Source organism: Homo sapiens, chromosome 5, assembly GCF_000001405.40.
Source record: "Homo sapiens chromosome 5, GRCh38.p14 Primary Assembly".
NCBI classification, from domain to species: Eukaryota; Metazoa; Chordata; class Mammalia; order Primates; family Hominidae; genus Homo; species Homo sapiens.
Genome location: NC_000005.10, coordinates 57,234,205 through 57,254,173, shown reverse-complemented (window position 1 = coordinate 57,254,173; position 19,969 = coordinate 57,234,205). Strand labels below are relative to the sequence as shown.

Here is a 19,969-nt window from a genome sequence, read left to right as displayed (position 1 = left end):
CAGGAGGATCGCTTGAGCCCAAGAGTTTGAGACCAGCCTGGGCAACATGGCGAAACCCCATCTCTACAAAAAATACAGAAGTTAGCCAGGCATGGTGGTACACACCTGTAATCCCAGCTGTTCCAATGGCTGAGGCAGGAGCATCATTTGAGTGGTATCAGTGAACCATCACTGTGCCACTGCACTCCAGGCTGGACAATGGAATAAGACCCTGCCTCAAAAAAAGAAAGAAAAGAACGAAAGAAGATCTAGCCAGGTGTCGTGGCTCACGCCTCTACTCCCAGCCCTCTGGGAGGCTGAGGCAGGAGTATCACTTGAGTCCAGGAGTTTTTGAGATCAGCCTGGGAAACACAGTGACACAGTGAGAGCTCATCTCTATGTTTTTTTTGTTTTTTGTTTTTAAGGGGGCAGCCATAACCCTTGGCAGGAGAAATATAAACTATTAAAACATTTGAAAAAATTAGAAATAAAAAGTAAAATTAAAATATTCCTCAAAAAAACTACAGATTTACATAACAGGTAGAAAAATACTGCAATATTTACTTCCCTCATTCATTTAACAAATTTAAGCAAAGTAATGTGCCAAGCACCATTCTAGGTGCTAGATATAGTGAACAAGATGGACAAAATGTTTGGCCTCATGTAGCTTATGTTCTTAATTAAAATAGAAGTTGAAATTATAAATAAATTCCACAAAAGTTATCCAAGAGGAGATATAACCCAGTTTTCCACTGTCTTAGAATTAAATGAGGTTCTAGAACTGGCAAAAAGTCAAGTCAATCAACTGGGCTGTTAATAAATGTAACTTAGCCCTAAGCTTGCTCTTAGAAGATGTAAGACTTTTTAAGTTAAAAAAAAATCAGTTTATACAAAGCAATTACAGAATAATAATATGATAATCTAAGGGTATAAACTATTAACTTTCTTTGCTTTCGTAGTTTTCAACATCTTTTAGTTATGCCGAACCATGTGGTTATTTAAGGAATACAGTAAGGGTATGTCATTTCTGCAAAAATACCTGCTTTTAACTACAAAAAAACAAAAATAAATTCTAGATATGAATACTCTTCAATTCTAAGACTAAACCACTTAAGAGATCACTATTTTTTAAAACGCTTTAGACTATACTGATGGAAGCAAAAAGTGCTGTTAAAAGTTTACAGCAGGCTGGGAGTGGTGGCTCACACCTGTAATCCTAGCACTTTGGGAGGCTGAGGCAGGTGGATCACTTGAGGTCAGGAATTCGAGAACAGCCTGGCCAACATGATGAAATCCCATCTCTACTAAAAGACAAAAATTAGCCAGGCATGGTGGCGTGTGCCTGTATTCTCAACTACTGAGGAGGCTGAAGCACAAGAATCTCTGGAACCCAGGAGGTGAGGTGGCAGTGAGCCAAGATCCTGCCACTGAACTCCAGCCTGGGCAACAGAGCAAGACCTGTCAAAAAAAAAAAAAAAATTTACAATAAAAACTAAATGACTGGCTGGGCACTGTGGCTCATGCCTGTACTCCTAGCACTTTGGGAGGGCGAGACGGGAGGATCGCTTCAGCTCAGGAGTTTGAGACTAGCCTACGCAACATAGTGAAACCCTCATCACTACAAAAAAATACAAAAATTAGCTGGGTATGGTGGTGCACACCTGTGGTCCCAGCTACTTGGTAGGCTGAGGTGGGGGGATCACTTGACCCTGGGAGACAGAGGTTACAGTGAGCTAATACCGCACCACTGCACTCCGGCCTGGGTGACAGAGTGAGACACTGTCTCGAAAAATAAATCACATATTGGGACAATTCGCTGTCCACGTGGGAAAGGATGAGTCTGAACTCCTACCTCACATCATCCAGGAAACCTGCATAAACCATACAAGGAAAAAAATGAACTACATCAAAATTAAAACTTTCTGCCCTTCAATAGGTACCACTGAAGCCGTGCATGGTGGTGCAAGCCTGTAATCCCAGCTACTCAGGAGGATCACTTGAGACCAGTCTGGGCAACACAGAAAGACCTCATCTCAAAAGGTGCCTGTGGGGGTGGGGGTGGGGGTGGGTGGGAGGTGATTGCACTACTGAGAGAATGAAAAAACTCACAGAATGGGAGAAATTATCTGCCAATCATATATGAGACTTATACACAAATATATAAAGAACTCTTACAACTTAGTAAGAAAATGTAATTTTTAAATGAGCGAAGTATTTATACAGTTATTTCTCTCCTAAGAGGATAAATGGCCAATAAGCACATAAAAAGATACTCAACACTATTAGTCATTAGGGAAATCATACTTCACACCCACTAGAATGACTGTAATCAAAGATAGATGGTACCATGTGTTGGTAAGAATGTGGAGAAACTAGAACCTTCTATATTGCTGATAAGGAAGTAAAATGACATAGTCATTTTGGAAAATAGTTTGTCAGTTTCTAAAAATGTGAAACACAACTATCATATGTCCCAGCAATTCAACTCCTAGGTATCTATCCAACAGAAATAAAAACATATCCACACAAGAACTTATATATGAATGTTCACAGCAGCATTATCCAAAACAGTCAAAAAGTAGATTGGACTAGAGCCTACTGTTAAAAAAAAAAAAAAAAGAGGTGGAAACAACTAATATTCATCAACTGATGAACAAAAAAGCAGTATAGTCATATAGTGTACTATTCAGCAATAAAAAGGAACAAAGTACTGACGTGCTTACAATGCAAATAAAACTTGAAAATATTATACTTAGTGAAAGAAGCTAGACATCAAAAATCACATACTATATTATTCCACTTATATAAGATACATACACAAGGCAAATCTATAGAAAGAATAGTAGCTGCCTAGGACAGAGTGCAAATGAAAAGTAAATGCGAGTGAACAAAGGGCTACTTTGAATATATTAAAAACCATCTGTATATCATAATGGGTGAAATTTATGGCGTAAGTTGTATTCCAATAAACCTGTTAAATCACGTAAAAACTCTATAATATTGAAATCTCGAATACAGAAAATGCTGAGCAAAAAGTACAAACAAATACTAGCCTGTGTTCTGCCTCAAGTGAACTTGAAAGAACATCAGTTTGTGGGAAGGTTGAAGACCGAATGATCTGCTGGGAAATCACTGAGGCATTGCCATTCTCTTGAGGAATTTCATTTTCATCGAAGTTTCGGTTTATATCCCTTTCTTGGTGAGTACTATTGCTGTTATGTAAATTAAATGAGTCGTCATCCTGATTTTTAGAGAGTTAAAAAAAAAAAAAAGAATGAGTTCTACAGAATACAGTTATTAAAAACTTTTAATAGATCCTAACTAAGCTTCCATTGAAAATACATAAATGCGGCCAGGCGCAGTGGCTCACCCCTGTAATCCCAGCACTTTGGAAGGCCAAGGCGGGTGGATCATCTGAGGTCAGGAGTTTGCGACGAGCCTGGCCAAAATGGTGAAACCCCATCTCTACTAAAAATACAAAAAAATTAGCTGGGCGTGGTGATACACGCCTGTAGTCCTAGCTGCTTGGGAGGCTGTGGCAGGAGAATTGCTTGAACCTAGGAGGTGGAGGTTGCAGTGAGCCAAGATCATGCCATTGTACACTATACTCCAGACAAGAGCAAAACTCTAAAAAAAAAAAAAAAAACCAACAACCATAAACGTAATACTTATAATTGTTAAATTTAGGAATGAAAAATTAAGCCAGGATGGATATCCAAAGCTTTCTTACCCTAAGTATTCATATCTATACAACAAATGCAAAATTAAAAGCATGAAGGCAGGCAAGATGGGACAAGCAAAAGAGAGCAGATATAAACAAGAATGCTTTTTAAATGTATTTTTCCACAGAAACTATAGAATGAAGCAAATCTACTTTAGAAATGAAGTCATGGCCAGGTACAGTGGCTCACGCCTGTAATCCCAACACTTTGGGAGGCCAAGGCAGGCGGATCACCTGAAGTCAGGAGTTCAAGACCAGTCTGGCCAACGTGGTGAAACCCCGTCTCTACAAAAAATGAAAAAATTAGCCAAACGTACAAAAAACACAAAAATTAGCCAGGTGTGGTGGCACATAAATATAGTCCCAGCTACCAGGAAGGCTGAGGAACAAGAATTGCTTGAACCTGGGAAGTGGAGTCTGCTGCAGCCCAAGATGATGCCCTTACACTCCGCTTGGGTGATAGAGTGAGACTTTGTCTCAAACGAGGAGGAGGGGGAGGGGGAAGGGGGAAGGAGGGGAGGGGGAAGGGGGAAAGGGGAAGGAGGGAAGGGGGAAAGGGGAAGGAGGGAAGGGGGAAAGGGGAAGGAGGGAAGGGGGAAAGGGGAAGGAGGGAAGGGGGAAAGGGGAAGGAGGGAAGGGGAGGGGGAAGGACGGGAAGGGGAGGGGGAAGGACGGGGAGGGGGGAAGGAGGGGAAGGGGAGAGGGGAAGGGGGAGGGGGAAGGGGGGAGGCGAGAAAAGGAGAGAGGAGGGGAGAAGCCAAGTCATTATTTATGCAAATGGCTTTCCAAGTTTCTTTCCAAGGAAATGATTCAAATGTATTCCAAGGTCCTAATACATGCTCAAATATTTCAATGACATATCAATGTCAAATCAAGTATTGCTATAAATTCAATTACCTTCTCTGAGCCAGCACGGCTTTCATCTTCATGTTCCTCTTCTACTCTGTCTCTTTTCAATGCTTTCAAAAATTCACTCTTCTTATCAGTGCGCATTCGTGTCAGTTTGGTTAGACGAGGCTGCTGATTAAGTTTGTCAACAGGAGAAGAGGAATTTGAGCGATTACACTAAGAGGAAATTCAGAAATACTGATAAATATGTAGCCAAGGAATCAATGTCAACATAAAATTCACTACTACCACAGCTTCCTATTTTACCTTTACTCACAAAATAAAATTGATTATAATGTCTATGTTACAGTCTAGTTCTATCCCTGTTTTTTCCCCTACTGAATGAGTCAACAAAATAATTTTCTTATCCCACAAACAATGAAGGTCTGATAATACTCAGAACTATGATTCTAAATTAGGTGTCTATTATTTTATAAATGCATCCTAGAATTGTTTAAACTTTTCTATAATACACAGAAGAGCAGCTTTTCAAACTGTGTTACACAGAGTTCTAGAGTTCAGTAACAGCTCCAATAAAATGTATTTTATAATTATTTATACACATACATAGGGTTTATAAGAGTGGATTTCACCTGGTAAAATGTTTGTGAGATGGCAGGGAGGAGAGGAGAAAGAATCCTTTTGTTTTTGGTTCTTTGGTGTTTTGACAGTGGAACACAAAACAGAATGTTAAAACTCTGTGTCATATGGATTATTAGTCACGGAAACAAACCATAATAATGCTTACTTGTTGGCATTAATGTATGTATATTATAACTAATCTTAGCAGAATTAAGCAGCTAGGAATGCTAGTCCTTCCCTCAAAGCTCAAAAATTCTGTCTGAGATCATAAATAAAAAATAGTGGCTCACGCCTGTAATCCCAGCACTTTGGGAGGCCGAGGCGGGCGGATCACGAGGTCAGGAGATCGAGACCATCCCGGCTAAAACGGTGAAACCCCGTCTCTACTAAAAATACAAAAAAATTAGCCAGGCGTAGTGGCTACATGCCCAGCCTGTAGTCCCAGCTACTTGGGAGGCTGAGGCAGGAGAATGGCGTGAACCCGGGAGGCGGAGCTTGCAGTGAGCCGAGATCCCGCCACTGCACTCCAGCCTGGGCGACAGAGCGAGACTCCGTCTCAAAAAAAAAAAAAAAAAAAAAAAAAATAGTATATGAGGGGTTCCAATACAGTACCCAAAGCAATTTCAGGTATAATAATATAAGTGCTATGGGTGTCCTTTGACACTAGACTGGTCAGAGAACTCCCTGTTCTGGGAGTTTCAAAACCTTGATCAAATGAGAAAGAAAATACCTGAACTACCAGGTACTCACAGTCAGTACAGTAACAATACATACCTTTCTCTCTTGTTCCTCCTTTCCCCCCAATCAGTGTTAATAGTAATAAAATGTCCATCATCCCCAAAAGAAGACATTATACAATACAAATCCTCATTAGTTAATTTCAATCCTACAAGGTAACTATCACAAGTATCAAATTAAGAAAATTGCAATTTTCTTAATTGTTTTCTTAAAAATTACTCTTGGTCCAGGTGTGGTGGATCATGCCTGTAATCCCAGGAACTGGGAAGCTGAGGAGAGAGGATCACTTGACACCAGGAGTTTGAGACCAGCCTGGACAACATAGCAAGATCCTCGTCTCTACAAAAAGTAAAAAATTAGCTGGCCCAGTGGCAAGCACCTGTAGTCCTAGACAATCAGGAGACTAAGATGGGAGGACTGCTTGAGCCCAGGAGGTCAAGGCACCAGTGAGCCACAAACGAGCCACTGTACTCCAGCCTGAGCAACAGAGACTCTGTCCCTCCTACCACCCCCCAAAAAATTATTCTTTGTTTATTAGGATGTTTGGAATTCCCCCCCATCCCCACTCTGCCACCACTTTTGAGACAGGGTCTCACTCTGTTGCCCAGGTTTGAGTACAGTGGCACAATCACAGCTTGCTGCAGCCTTGACATTCCCAGGCTCAGGTGTTCCTCCCACAACAGCCTCCCAAGATCTGGGACCACAGGCACATACCACCATGCCCAGCTATTTTTTTTTAAGTAGAGACAGGGTTTCACCATATTGCCGAGGCTGGTCTGAAATTCCTGGGCTCAAGTGATCCTCCTGTCCCACTTCCCAAAATGTTGGGATTATAGGAATGAGCTGGGAATTTTCATTTAAAATATTTTAAATGATTCCTACTTTCCCAAAGTGCAAAATTGGTTAACAAATGAAGTAAATGAATCCAGTTTTCTGAAGGAATGAAACTCATTTTAATGTATTCATTTAATGAATTTCTACCTTTTATTCACTGTTAAACTATCATAATTAAAATGTTACATTCCTCAAGTGTGATTTTTAATGTCATACCTCTTTCACTGAATTTGTAGATGGACTAAAGTTCTTGGCAGTTGATTTAAAAGCATTAAAGTTGCCAACGCCAAATGTGGACTCATGAGGGAAAGAAGTTCCAACTTTATTTTCTTTTGTTTGGCTTTTCCATTGTGTAGGCTAAAGAAAAACACACAAACATTAATGGCTATCAAAAACAGGTTACAGGAGAAAGACAAAAACAGTGAATATTATAAAACAAAAATGACTACGCTAGGCTCATGGAAACAATTATTTTTGTATCACACTGCATTATTCCTACATAGTTCTCTGTCCCTTTCTTTTTCAACAAATAAAATAAAAACTGAACATTTAGGTATCTAACTAAATTGCTATTTTTCCAAAGCTACATAAAGTTGGGTTTCTTTCACTTGAGAATAAGAAAAAACATGTGAGTTTCCAAAACCTAAAACTGAGCACCAGGTAAAACAGCATTATATATTATCATTAAGCAAATATATCACAACTACATCTAGCAAAAAAAAAAAATTTTTAAGTTTCACTTACTACTGCTAAAACAATAAAACCACACACACGCACACACCACATCAAAGATAATTAAGAGCACATATGGGTCAACTCTTGCCACCTAGAACTCAGCACCCCACGAAGTACCTCCATACACACTTTAAATTCTTTAACATTTCCCCCCATAGGACATAAATTGGTTATCAACTCAAAATTTACATTTGTGGTAATTTAGAACTTACTTTTGTAGGTGGAGCAGCAGGTTTAGGGACTAAACCTTTATAAACACTTGGACCAGTTCCATTCTTAACTGGCTGTGACGGAAGATTTCCTACTACTGGGAATCCAGATAGCTGTAAGTCTTTTGTATTACCTTTCTTAATGACCAGCATCCTTGGAGCTCTAGATTTAGGATTCGGAGGATATTCTGCATAAATAAAGCATGACCAAGAGTCACTCACAATTTCAAGTTTTAGTATAGAATAAAACCACCAAAAGAACAGTATATTCCAAATTTTTTTTTTTTTTTAACTAACAGCTGCCTCCTGGGTAAAATAACTAAACTAAAAAAGTACAAACTATATTCCAATTGAACAAGTAAAGCTAAAACATTATCCCACAGAATATAGGAAGAATTGGGCAATGTCAAGTAATACAGATAAATTCTGCTACACAGTGGCTCAGAATGTTAAAACCAAGACAAATTATATTTTAACATGCCTTGCATTAACTATAAAAAATTGCAAACATCAACCTAATGACTCTTAAGATTTAGAATATAAAATACATTTCTATTTTCCCTTCCCCATTTGAAGAGAATTAAAATTTCAATTTTTTCATTCTTTTTACTCCACTTACAAAGTTATTACCAATAAGCAAGAAATTACATTCCTTTTATTTCTAAATACTTCAGTTATGACTGAGAATTCTATTTCACAATATCAATTCATTCATGTATTTATTGACCATTTATCTACATTCAAAGCATTATATGAATGCAGACCAACCAACTCAATCCTGATTTCTGAAGATAAATACTACGAATAATTGCTAAAGGCAGACTTTTCTCAAGACTACTGCAGTTGCCAAAAATACCTATTATTCCTATAATTTAATCAATGTGTGTGTGTAATCAAACAGACATTGCAGTGAAGTCTTTCTTTCTTCCCTTACAAAAACTTTTAAAAGCATCAGTTTCACAGCTGGAAAGTTTAGAATAAATTAAGTTCTCCACATTAAATAAGATCATGTGAATTAGTGAGCTGGGTAGATATCTGTAATGATTCCCTCCTCAAAAACTAAATCAAGCTTCCTCATGGATCATCTCAAAACCCAAAACTAAATATGGACTCCTAGGGAAACCCGGAGGGACTCTCCAGTTCATGGGAGGATTCAAGCTCTCCAAAAGATAAAGCCGGTATGGTGCTTCACCTATTGAAATGCTAAAGGATAAAAAGAACAAGGGCTTAAAATAATCTGAGAAAAGGTTCATCTTTCCAAAAATTAAACACATGTTGACTTACTAGGGTAAAGATTGAAACTTCCTGACGGTCTAAAAAAAGCCCAATATAAAGGGCTAAAAAAGACAACTTCTGGCACACAAAAACACACAAAGTATTACTACCAAAGTATAGCTTTTCTGATATTACACAACAAAGTTAACAAAACAAAAATGAATAAAGATCTCAAACAGGCTGCGCGTGATGGCTTAAGCCTGTAATCCCTGCACTTTGGGAGATGAGGCGGGCAGACCATGAGGTCCGGAGCTCAAGAACAGCCTGGCCAACATGGTGAAACCCCGTCTCTACTAAAAATACAAAAAGGAATTAGCGGGGCGTGTTGGCATGTGCCTATAATCCCAGCTACTCGGGAGGCTGAGGCAGGAGAATCACTTGAACCTGGGAGGCAGAAGTTGCAGTAAGCCGAGATCACGCCACTGCACTCCAGCCTGGGCGACAGAGCAAGACTCCATCTCAAAAAAAAAAAAAAAAAAAAAAAATCTCAAACAAAGAATAGTAAATAATATTAGGATTGTACTCAACAATGTAAGATTTCCAATTATTTTTGGTAAACAGATGATAATGGCATGGATGAAGTATAAAAAAAATTCTTGACATTAATAAAATGTGAGAGAAAATCTTAGCATGTAACTCAAAATCTAAATTGAGTAAAGCCCAGGAATCTGAGGAATGATCAGTGCTACAAAATGTGAAAGGTAATCTCATCTGAGAGGAATCCAGGTGTTAAAGCAGGGGGCAGTTCTATCACTATACTACAACTAAGTAAGTTTAAACATGGCTAACAGAGACTTCTAGTTCAATGTGGCTAAGCACACAAGTTTATCTTCTTCTAGATTCTTATATTAAAATTACTGTAAGGGAGGAAACCAAACACAACTATATAAAATAGGAGTAGAGTCATCAGCAAGAAAATGATTTCAACACACAGTTCTAGAGAAGTAAATAAAAAGTTTCAATTTAGAGTGTACACAAAGGAACCTAACAGCTGAGGAGGACCTAATCTACCACATAGAGCCTCAAAGGGATCAGGACTTGAAAATGCCAGATATGGTAGAAGGCAGAAATGCAACTTTGATAAAAATAGAATAATTCAAAAGATCCTTACTAATTCTAAAGAATGTACTTTAGGCAGAAGGAAAATGATCCAATGTGGAAAGCTGAAGATATAAGAAGAAATAAAAATTTTTATAAATATGAAGGTATCAGATCCAGGAAGTAGGCTGGGTGTGGTGGCTCATGCCTGTAATCCCAGCACTTTGGGAGACCAGGGTGGGAGGACCGCTTGAGTCCAGGAGTCCAAGACCAGCCTGGGCAATATAGTGAAACTTTGTCTCTACAAAAAAAAATTTTTTCAATTAGCCAGACACAGTGATGTGCACCTGTAGTCTTAGCTACTTGGGGGGCTGACATAGGAGAATCCCTTGAGCCCAGGTTGAGGCTGTAGTGAGCTGTGATGGCACAACTGTACTCCAGTCTGGGCCACAGAGTGGGACCCTGTCTCAAAACAAAAACAAGGAAGCAGAAGACATGAAAACTAGATAGGCAAGTAGATATACTATCTTTAAGCCTCAATATAGTTTCTGAGTACAAATTTCACCTTTCCTAAAGCTGGATTCCTAGATGCCTAGGAGTAAGAAATATTCTGGCTAGTTCCTCAATGAGGTCTTCAGTACAAAGAATGATGAAATATTCTATAAAGAAGGAAAGTGAAACCTAAGAAATCATTCACAGAAGAGTAGGTAGCAGAGTAAGAGATGACAAAAGTCCCTGAAGAAAGAGGATAGGGACTGAGAGGAAAGGGGAGGGATATACCGTTATTGTGCTTATTAAGAATTCGTATTAGGCCAGGCACGGTGCCTCATGCCTATAATCCCAGCACTTTGGGAAGCCGAGGCAGGTGGATCACGAGGTCAGGAGTTCAAGACCAGCCTGGCCAATATGGTGAAACCCCATCTCTACTAAAAATACAAAAATTAGCCAGGTATGGTGGCAGGCGCCTGTAATCCCAGCTACTCGGGAGACTGAGGCAGAGAACTGCTTGAACCCGGGAGGTGGAGGTTGCAGTGAGCCAAGATCACACCACCGCACTCCAGCCTGGGCGACAGAGTGACACTCCATCTCAAAAAAAAGAAAAAAACAAAAAAAGTAATTCATATTAGGCCGGGCGCAGTGGCTCACGCCTGTAATCCCAACACTTTGGGAGGCTGAGGCGGACGGATCACAAGGTTAGGAGTTTGAGACCAGCCTGGCCAACATGGTGAAACCCTGTCTTTACTAAAAATACAAAAAGTTAGCCAGGTGTGGTGGCAGGCCTCTCTAATCCCGGCTACTCGGGAGGCCGAGGCAGAAGAATCACTTGAACCCGGGAGGCAGAGGTTGCAGTGAGATGAGATCACACCACTGCACTCCAGCCAGGGCGACAGTGTGAGACTCCATTTAAAATAATAATAATTCATATTTAGGCCAGGCATGGTGGCTCAAACCTGTAATTCCAGCACTTTCGGAGGCCAAGGTGGGATGGATCACTTGAGCCCAGGAGTTCAAGACCAGGCTGGGCAACATAATGAGACATCATCTCCATGAAAAATTTAAAAATGAGGCAGGAAGATCGCTTGAGCCTAGGAGGCTGGGGCTGCAATGAGCCATGATCGCACCACTGCACTCATGCCTGGGGGAGAGGGCAAGACTCTGACTCAAAAACTGCAAAAAGAATTCACATTTAAATATTACAGAAGAATGTGTACTTTTGTACCAGATTTATCAGAATTTGAATACTAGCTCCAACCTTACCAGTTGTATAATCTTATATAAGTTACTTAATCTCTCACCTATAAAATGAAAAACAATAGCTCTTGTCTGGGATTTACTGTGGAATGTTTCATATTCAAATAATTATTAGAAAACAATACAGAAAAGCCATACACTGTCACTAGCATAGGATTCCAATTACAATTCAAATTAAAGGTGTCCTTTTGCAAGAATTTCAGGTTGCTTAACCTGCAATTAGATATCAGAGGGAAAAAAGAATTTTAGGTTGACTGGTAAGAGTAAGAAAAAGAAAAACTTTAAGATAGACATGATAAAACCAATCTATGTCCTGTGTAACAACTCTGAATAATCGACATAAACCTGCTCATTTAAGAAAAAGAAGTGTTCTTAATGGTAACAATAACCTGTAAGTAATGGAAGAAGGGATGTGGGACTAAAAGGCAAGAATTAATTTGCATCATGTATCCCCATTTTATATTATTTAAAAATTGGCTCATCTATTCACAGATTTTCTCCACAAATTCTCCTAGGAAAACCTTGCCAAGTATTTAAGCTCTTAGAGTCAAACATTATCCAATGTTTACTTTCTGACTTGGTTAATTATATGAAGAAGACCCCAAATGTTTACATTTTAAAAGAGAAAACTTATATATTGATGACAGACCTTAATACCTATATAAAATGAGAAAGTAAGTGACTATCTTCTATAAGTTTCATGTGCTTATTACATCAACCTCACCTACACAGGTATTCTCATGTTCAAATTTCAGAACAACTGAAGGCAAATGTGACCTTTGGATTTTCTTAACATTATTTCCCTCTATCCTCGCAAATAAATGTAGCCTGACAATAACTGACCTTTTTATTTTTATTTTTGTAGAGACAAGGTTCACTATGCTGCCCAGGCTGGTCTCAAACTCTTGGCTTCAACTGATCTTCCCACCTCGGCCTCCCAAAGTGCTAGGATTACAGGCCTGGACCACCAATCCTGGCCCTATAATTGACTTTAAATATTAAATATCACTTTTATTGTCTTGTTATTCATGCTCTTCCCATACCTATGAATGTAAGAATTAGTTTTCTTCTATAAATGCAGTGATGACGGGGAACTGGCCCAATTCTCAGGAAGACAAATTAGAACAAAAATACTGCCACATATAATACAAAGTAAATTGGCCACACAGATAATTCAGAGTTGACATTTCAATTCCTCACCTCTTTCCTTTCACTACACTCTCCATATAGCTACCTTCTACATACATGAAGTTTCTGACTCAATCACTACATTTAACTACTTCATTCTTTGGCCCACTACCTAGAAATTCATTTTTGCCTTCTAACAAAGCTACAACTAGAATCTCCTTCATTTATTGGATTTGAACAACATAATTAGCTGACATTTATTAAACACCTGTGACATGACCAAATATTTTTACATAGTAGACAATTTAACCTTAACAATGCCTTTTTTTTTTTTTTAAATGGGAGACAGAGTTTCGCTCTTGTTGCCCAGGCTGGAGTGCAATGGCGCGATTTCAGCTCACCACAACCTCCGCCTGCCTCAGCCTCCCGAGTAGCTGGAATTACAGGCATGTGCCACCACACCCAGCTAAATTTGTATTTTTAGTAGTGACAGGGTTTCTCCATGTTGGTCAGGCTGGTCTTGAACTCCCAACCTCAGGTGATCCACCTGCCTCAGCCTCCCAAAGTGCTGGGATTACAGGTGTGAGAGCCACCACTCCCGGCCCAACAGTGCTTTTCTCATTATAATTTTTGTGGTCATCCTCACCTCACAGATGAATAAATTCACTCAGATTAAGCAATGTGCCCAAAATCTAAATAATCAATAAGCAAAAGATCTAATGTTAGCCACATCTGATTCTGAACTCAATATTCTTCCACCATTATATTAATGAAGAAAATGGAAATTGTTCCTGTGGCAGATATTTCAAAATGTTTACCATTCCAACTCCACTAGTAAACCTACACTGAATGGTTGGGGTAAGAGGCTTATAAGTGTGCACTATACCAAGTGACGTCAAGAGTCATCATCACATTGATGCCAGTTACTAATTTAGTTTCCTATTATTTTGACAGAAGAGGTAAATTTAATGTATCAACAAAAGCATGTAGCCAAGTGAAGGGTAATCAGTATCTGAATTAATCAAGTTTTCATTTCTTTCTTTGGAGAAAGAGTCTTGCTCTGTTGCCCAGGCTGGAGTGCAGCGGCACAATCGTAGCTCACTGCAACCTGGAAATCATGGGCTCAAGCAGTCCTCCCACCTCAGCCTCGCAAGTAGCTAAGACTACAGACACACACAACCACGTCCAGTTAATTTTTTATTTTTTATTTTTGTAGAGACAAGGGTCTCCCTATGAGAGCTCCTGGCCCCAAGTGATACCCCCATCCTGTGCTCCAAAAATGCTGGGATTACAGGCATGAGCCACTGCACCCAGCAAGCTTTCCAATTAATTTGAAGAGAAAACTTATCACTAAGACAATAGTACATACACAGACCAAATGCAAAGACTCTATAAGGCAGCAATTTAAACAAATTTCTATTGTGAACACTAGTTTTAATACCAAAAAAAATGTTTAAGATCATTTTTACAACAATTGGTGCTGTTTGAATGTTGTTGGTTTCTAATGTTTGTTCGGAGATGGAGTGTCTCTTTGTCGCCCAGGCTGGAGTGCAGTGGCGCGATCTTGGCTCACTGCAAACTCTGCCTCCCCGGTTCAAGCGATTTTCATGCCTCAGCCTCCCAAGTGGCTGGGATTACAGGCACACAGTACCACGCCCAGCTAATTTTTGTATTTTTAGTAGAAACGGGTTTCACCATTTTGGCCAGGCTGGTCTTGAACTCCTGACCTCTGATGATCAGCCCACCTTGGCCTCCCAGAGTGCTGGGATTACAGGCATGAGCAACCACGCCCAGCTGGTTTTTAACGTCTTTATTTTATTAACAAATCTATTTTGGTTTACAATACTGTGAGTTTTAGTCAAATGAGTTTCACTAACTGTTATAATTTATATCAACACCAATCGATATGGTACTTTCCCCCTTTAACGGGGGCTCTCAACGTTATTCATATAAAGAACATGCTTAAAGAAATGCATTTCACAAATATCAACAATTTCCATGGTGAACAAGTAATTCAGACCAAATAAAATGTACTTGGGTCAAGCTGTATCAAGCTGTCTACTCAAATCCTATTAATTTTCCCTTTTCAACCATGAACACGTTGTACTACTTTTTTCTTAAAACACTATAATTTCAACAACTGTTTTCATATAAGACAGATATTAAAAGTCATTTCAACATACAAAGCAATTCATCAACAGAATACTGTCAAAAAAATCCAACGAAGAATTTTCCCTTCCCTTAATTCTGTTTACCAAAGTTCCTATTAATAAAATCAATCCCCATTGGCTTTCATCATAATTTACCTCACTGAATGCAATTATGTCACTCAATCTGTATGCTTGTGGCAAATATTGGAATTCTCTAGAAAACAATCCATTTATATTAACTGGTGACTAATTTGCTTTGATTCAGAATGCTCAACAAACCAAAAGAACTCTGAGCAATGAACCTTTATGTTCTTAAGTAGTATATCAAATATGAGCTAAAATCAAGAAAGCTCATCAAACTACCAAGGAGCTGAAAAAATATATAAATGCTGAGTTGGAAGAAGACCATGCTTAAGCTAATTACTAGTCACTGAAATTTCTGATTTTTTAATATCTTAAGTAAATGTTAAGTTCTGCCAATAGTATGTTGCTGACATGGTCACTGGCACAAAAACAGTACTCCATAGGACTTCTAAAAACACATGATCAGTAGCCACTAATTTATTTATTTATTTATTTATTTTTTGAGACGGAGTTTCACTCTTGTTGCTCAGGCTGGAGTGCAATGGTGCGACCTCGGCTCACCGCAACCTCTGCCTCCCAGGTTCAAGCGATTCTCCTGCCTCAGCCTCCCGAGTAGCTAGGATTACAGGCATGCGCCACCACACCCGGCTAATTCTTTATTTTTAGTAGAGATGGGGTTTCTCCATGTTGGTCAGGCTGGTGTCGACCTCAGGTGATCCACCTGCCCTGGCCTCCCAAAGTGCTGGGATTACAGGCATGAGCCACCATGCCTGGTCGCCACTAATTATTAATGCAACTCAACTCAACTGCACACTAACACTTGAACATACATCACTCTTTCTTCCTCACTCACCAAAGAAATCAATCAAACAATTACATTATTTTTAAATTCTCATAGGCAGCTTGAATTCCTGTTTTAGTTTTAAATTAACAGCGTGGAGATGGACTATTTAATAACCATTAATTTTATGTACCTAATAGCTATGATTCTGGTTAACATAAAAACACTATTGAAGTCACAGATATAAGCTGCATGAGGGTGTTTCCAGTAAAGCCAACTAGGTTCTAAGCAGAATTCAATTTATGTAGCTATATTATAAATCACTTAACTACATTCCCCGCAGGGTATTTCTCAAATTGGGGCATCATGTTTAAGTCTGCCAGTTTTCAATCTACAAAATTATAGTTTCAGGGACAAATTGCTTTTTTTTTTTAATAAATATTATATTTTCGTTAGTAAATTTTTACTTACCTGGAAGGAAGTAGCACTAGAAAAGCTCTATTGAAGTCTTTCCTAAAATTCTCGTCTTCCTCAGGAACATAGCTATTTTAAATGTTGCAATAGGGAAAACAATACTTGGGAACCCAGGGGGGAAAGTGAGAGAGGAATAGTAAAGTGTGATACAATGAGAGTTTCATTGTATTCCTATGGGAAGTACTGGGAATTTAACAATTAACCATTCCACAATTAACCATTTTCTTTTTTTGTTTATGCAGACACATTTCTTAGTTTACCTAAACACAGTAAAGAGTACATCTTCCTTTTGAACATCTTTTCAACTAGTACTCAAAATCCTTAGACCAACCCTGAAACAGTAGAACCAAAATCTTCATATTAATACATTTTACTCTCATTATTTTCAAATATGTCTTTGTCTCTAAATCATTTCTAAGATTATTAAATCAACCCAGGATCAGTACCAATAGTATCTATAGATAGTTTTATATGACAAACGCTCACTGGCATTCTTGATTTTTAAAACTTTCATTCTAATCAAATCCAAATTATTCCTAATTTCTTAGAGATTCTATTTAACACCTTCCAGGTGGTTCTATATTCTTATGCAATCAGTTGTTCCCAGAAAAACTGAATAATAAGGAAACATACCTAAGAGAGGAGCTTGGGAGATTTTTTTGGTTGGGTATGTGTGTGTCTGGGCGTGTAGGCCTGGGGAGAGTGGTAGAAATACTAATTTGCAATACAGAAAAAACAATGCCATTCACATGGTTCTAACAAAAGTGTCTGACCACCCCCACCCCCACCCTCAAAAAGCCCTTAAATAAAGAGGAAGATCAAAAGAAAACAAAATAATTCCCGAGTTTCACCTCATACATACAATATAGCACAGGAAGTGGCAAAGTTTAAAATAATGCCTTTACTGTTAGGACTAGTATGCTGTCAAAAGCCACAATCCTTTTGTTTTAGTGAGTTGATTTTCAATAGAAAAATACAAATGAACATGTGTTTAAGTTCCAACATGGATTGAGCACCTCTGAATTTAGTATCAAATGATTAATTTTATTTTTCAGATGTCAAATCTTAGTATAAAATTTTCCATTATTTTAAACTTCACTTGAATCTTTAAAAAAGCTGTCTAAATTGTACTATATGAGTTCAGTTTAATCTTCTGTAAAATGCTAACAAATTGAACTGTCAGCAGTCTTTTAAAAAAAAATGGGGGCTGGGTTATTTCTAGAAGAACTCTCATTAAGCTTTGAAAATCAGAAATCAGAGACAAATAACTTCAAATATAGACTAGCTCCACAAGCAAATTTATACAATTATCTGTAACAGTCTATACATATATGTGTATATATATATACGTAACCACTTTCATAGGTAAAAATATTAACTTCATGTCACACTATGATCAGAAGTATTTCCAGTTAAAGTTTTCAACTTTGAACAACTAAAAATTAATTTAAACTCAGTTTGTTTCTTTACATTATCCAGCTGCTCTCAAAATGGTATCAATTCATTACACTAACTTATTATCATTTAAGTCATATTCAAGTTGAGTATGTTTAATGATACTAACATGTGCAAATCAACTACTTCAAACTCTTCTATTCCAATCCTCCTTTTTAAAGACGAATGTTACCTTTTTTGTAGCTAAGCACATCAAATACAAATACTTTAAAAAGAAAGTTTTATTCTAGCCTGCTCTCTATTTTAAAAAACACAAAAAGTGAAACCTATAAATATCAACATTTTGTGCCCCTCAAATATAGATAAAAAATTACTTACCCCACACACCTGCAGCTAAAGACTTATTGTGATTTGGTTCTCTCTCATACTCAGGATTTAAAGACGGCTGGAAGAAAGTTGGAATAAACATTTCACATTTTAAAAATAAATCATTTAAAACCAATCTCAGAATCATACATGTTGTAACTGATGAATCAAATATGACCAACTCTTAGCTACAGGTTGAATAACCCTAATCTGAAAAGCTACAAAATCTGAAACTTTTTGAGTGCCAGTGTCACGCTCTGCCTACTCATTGAAGCACTTGGATTTTGGATTTTCAGAAACAGGATGCTGAAATAATAAACGTAAAATCTGAAAAAAATCCAAAATCCAAAACACTTCTGGTCCCAAGCATTTCAGATAAAGGACATTCAGCCTGTATTAAACATGAATTACTCATAAACCTTACTCTCAGCTTACTTTGCTAACCATTAAACTAGTTACTATCTATACTAATTGCTGGTCAGAGAAAACAAGAGTGTGTTTAAGTTTCCTTATCCATAACTAAGAAAAAAGTCAGGGTTAAAAAACAGGCTACTCTGCCTATGGAGTAGCCATTCTCTTATTCCTTTACTTTCTTAATAAACTTGCTTTCATTTAAAACAAAAAAAAAAAAGAAAAGAAAAACTCAAGAGAATGGAGGTCTTTGCATCAGTCTAAGAAATAATCCCTCCTTAGCATAAGGTCAAGATCAGAGAAGAGGAAAATCAGATTTTTTTTTTTTGAAATGCAGTCTTGCTCTATCACCCAGGTGGAGTGAAGTGGTACGATCTCAGCTCACTGGAACCTCCGCCTCCAGGGTTCAGGTGATTCTCCTGTCTCAGCCTCCCAAGTAGCTGGGATTACAGGTGAGCAGCACCATGCCCAGCTAATTTTTGTATTTTTAGTACAGACGGAGTTTCACCATGTTGGCCAGGCTGATCTCCAACTCCTGGCCTCAAGTGATCCACCTGCCTCTGCCTCCCAAAGTGCTGGGATTACAGGAGTGAGCCACCACACCTGGACTAATAATAATTTTAATTTTTTTTTTCATTATAGCAACACATGTTTATTATCTCATAGCTCTGTAGATCAGAAGTCTGGGTTGGCTTGACTGGTTTCTCTGCTTCAGGTTTCACCAAGCTATAATCTGTGTTGACAGCATGGGTTATAGGAAGATTCACTCAAATTGTGGGCACAATCCAGTTTCTTGTAGCTGTAGGACTGAGGTCTCCATTTCCTTGCTGGCTGTCACCTGGGAATTTCTATTAGCTTTGAGAATTCTCTTTTTAGCTTTGTATCTGGGCAACTGTATCTCAGAGCCAGTGATTGCACATCAAATCCATCTCACACGTGAAAGCTCTTGGATTTCCTTTTCTGCTGCACATCTGACTTTAGCTGGAGAAACTTCTCTGCTTTTAAGGGCTCAAGTGATTAGACTGGCCCCAATAATTTTAATTTTTTAATAAAAACTTTGTAGATAATGGGTCTTGCTATGTTGCCCAGGCTGGTCTCAAATTCGTGGCTTCACTTGAACCTCCCACTTCAGCCTCCCAAGGTGCTGGGAAAACAGGCATGAGCCACTGAACCCAGCCCCAATTCTTAAAGTTGTCATCACTAGTTAACACACGCACTATCAAAGCCAAAGCCAAGTCCAAATCTGTATTTCAACAAGTGATATTCAGGATTATTAAAAACAAAAGTGAGATGAGCATTGAATGAGTGCTCTAAAGCTAATCTTGGTAGATGCGTTTATCCTCCAAAATCCTAAATTTCCAGTATTCTATCAGGTATTTTTCCTAGCACACAAACTGCCTCTTTTAAAGAAGGTACTTAATATATATTA

General features: G+C 38.3%; 1 protein-coding gene across 5 annotated transcripts in view; it reads right to left on the bottom strand.

Annotated features, from left to right (window-relative positions):
• Positions 1-19,969, bottom strand: part of GPBP1 (GC-rich promoter binding protein 1) — a 90,621-nt gene that overhangs the window by 10,506 nt on the left and 60,146 nt on the right. For 3 of the 5 annotated variants that reach the window (NM_022913.4, NM_001203246.2, NM_001127236.2), the window contains 5 exons: positions 18,142-18,208; positions 7,690-7,874; positions 6,959-7,099; positions 4,598-4,765; positions 3,033-3,220 (listed from right to left, as the gene is read on the bottom strand). In NM_022913.4, coding sequence (NP_075064.1) covers positions 3,033-3,220; positions 4,598-4,765; positions 6,959-7,099; positions 7,690-7,874; positions 18,142-18,208 — 749 coding nt within the window. Of the gene's footprint in view, positions 1-3,032; positions 3,221-4,597; positions 4,766-6,958; positions 7,100-7,689; positions 7,875-17,001; positions 17,062-18,141; positions 18,209-19,969 lie in introns of all 5 variants that reach the window. The other 2 variants (NM_001331037.2, NM_001127235.2) reach the window with 2 other exon arrangements.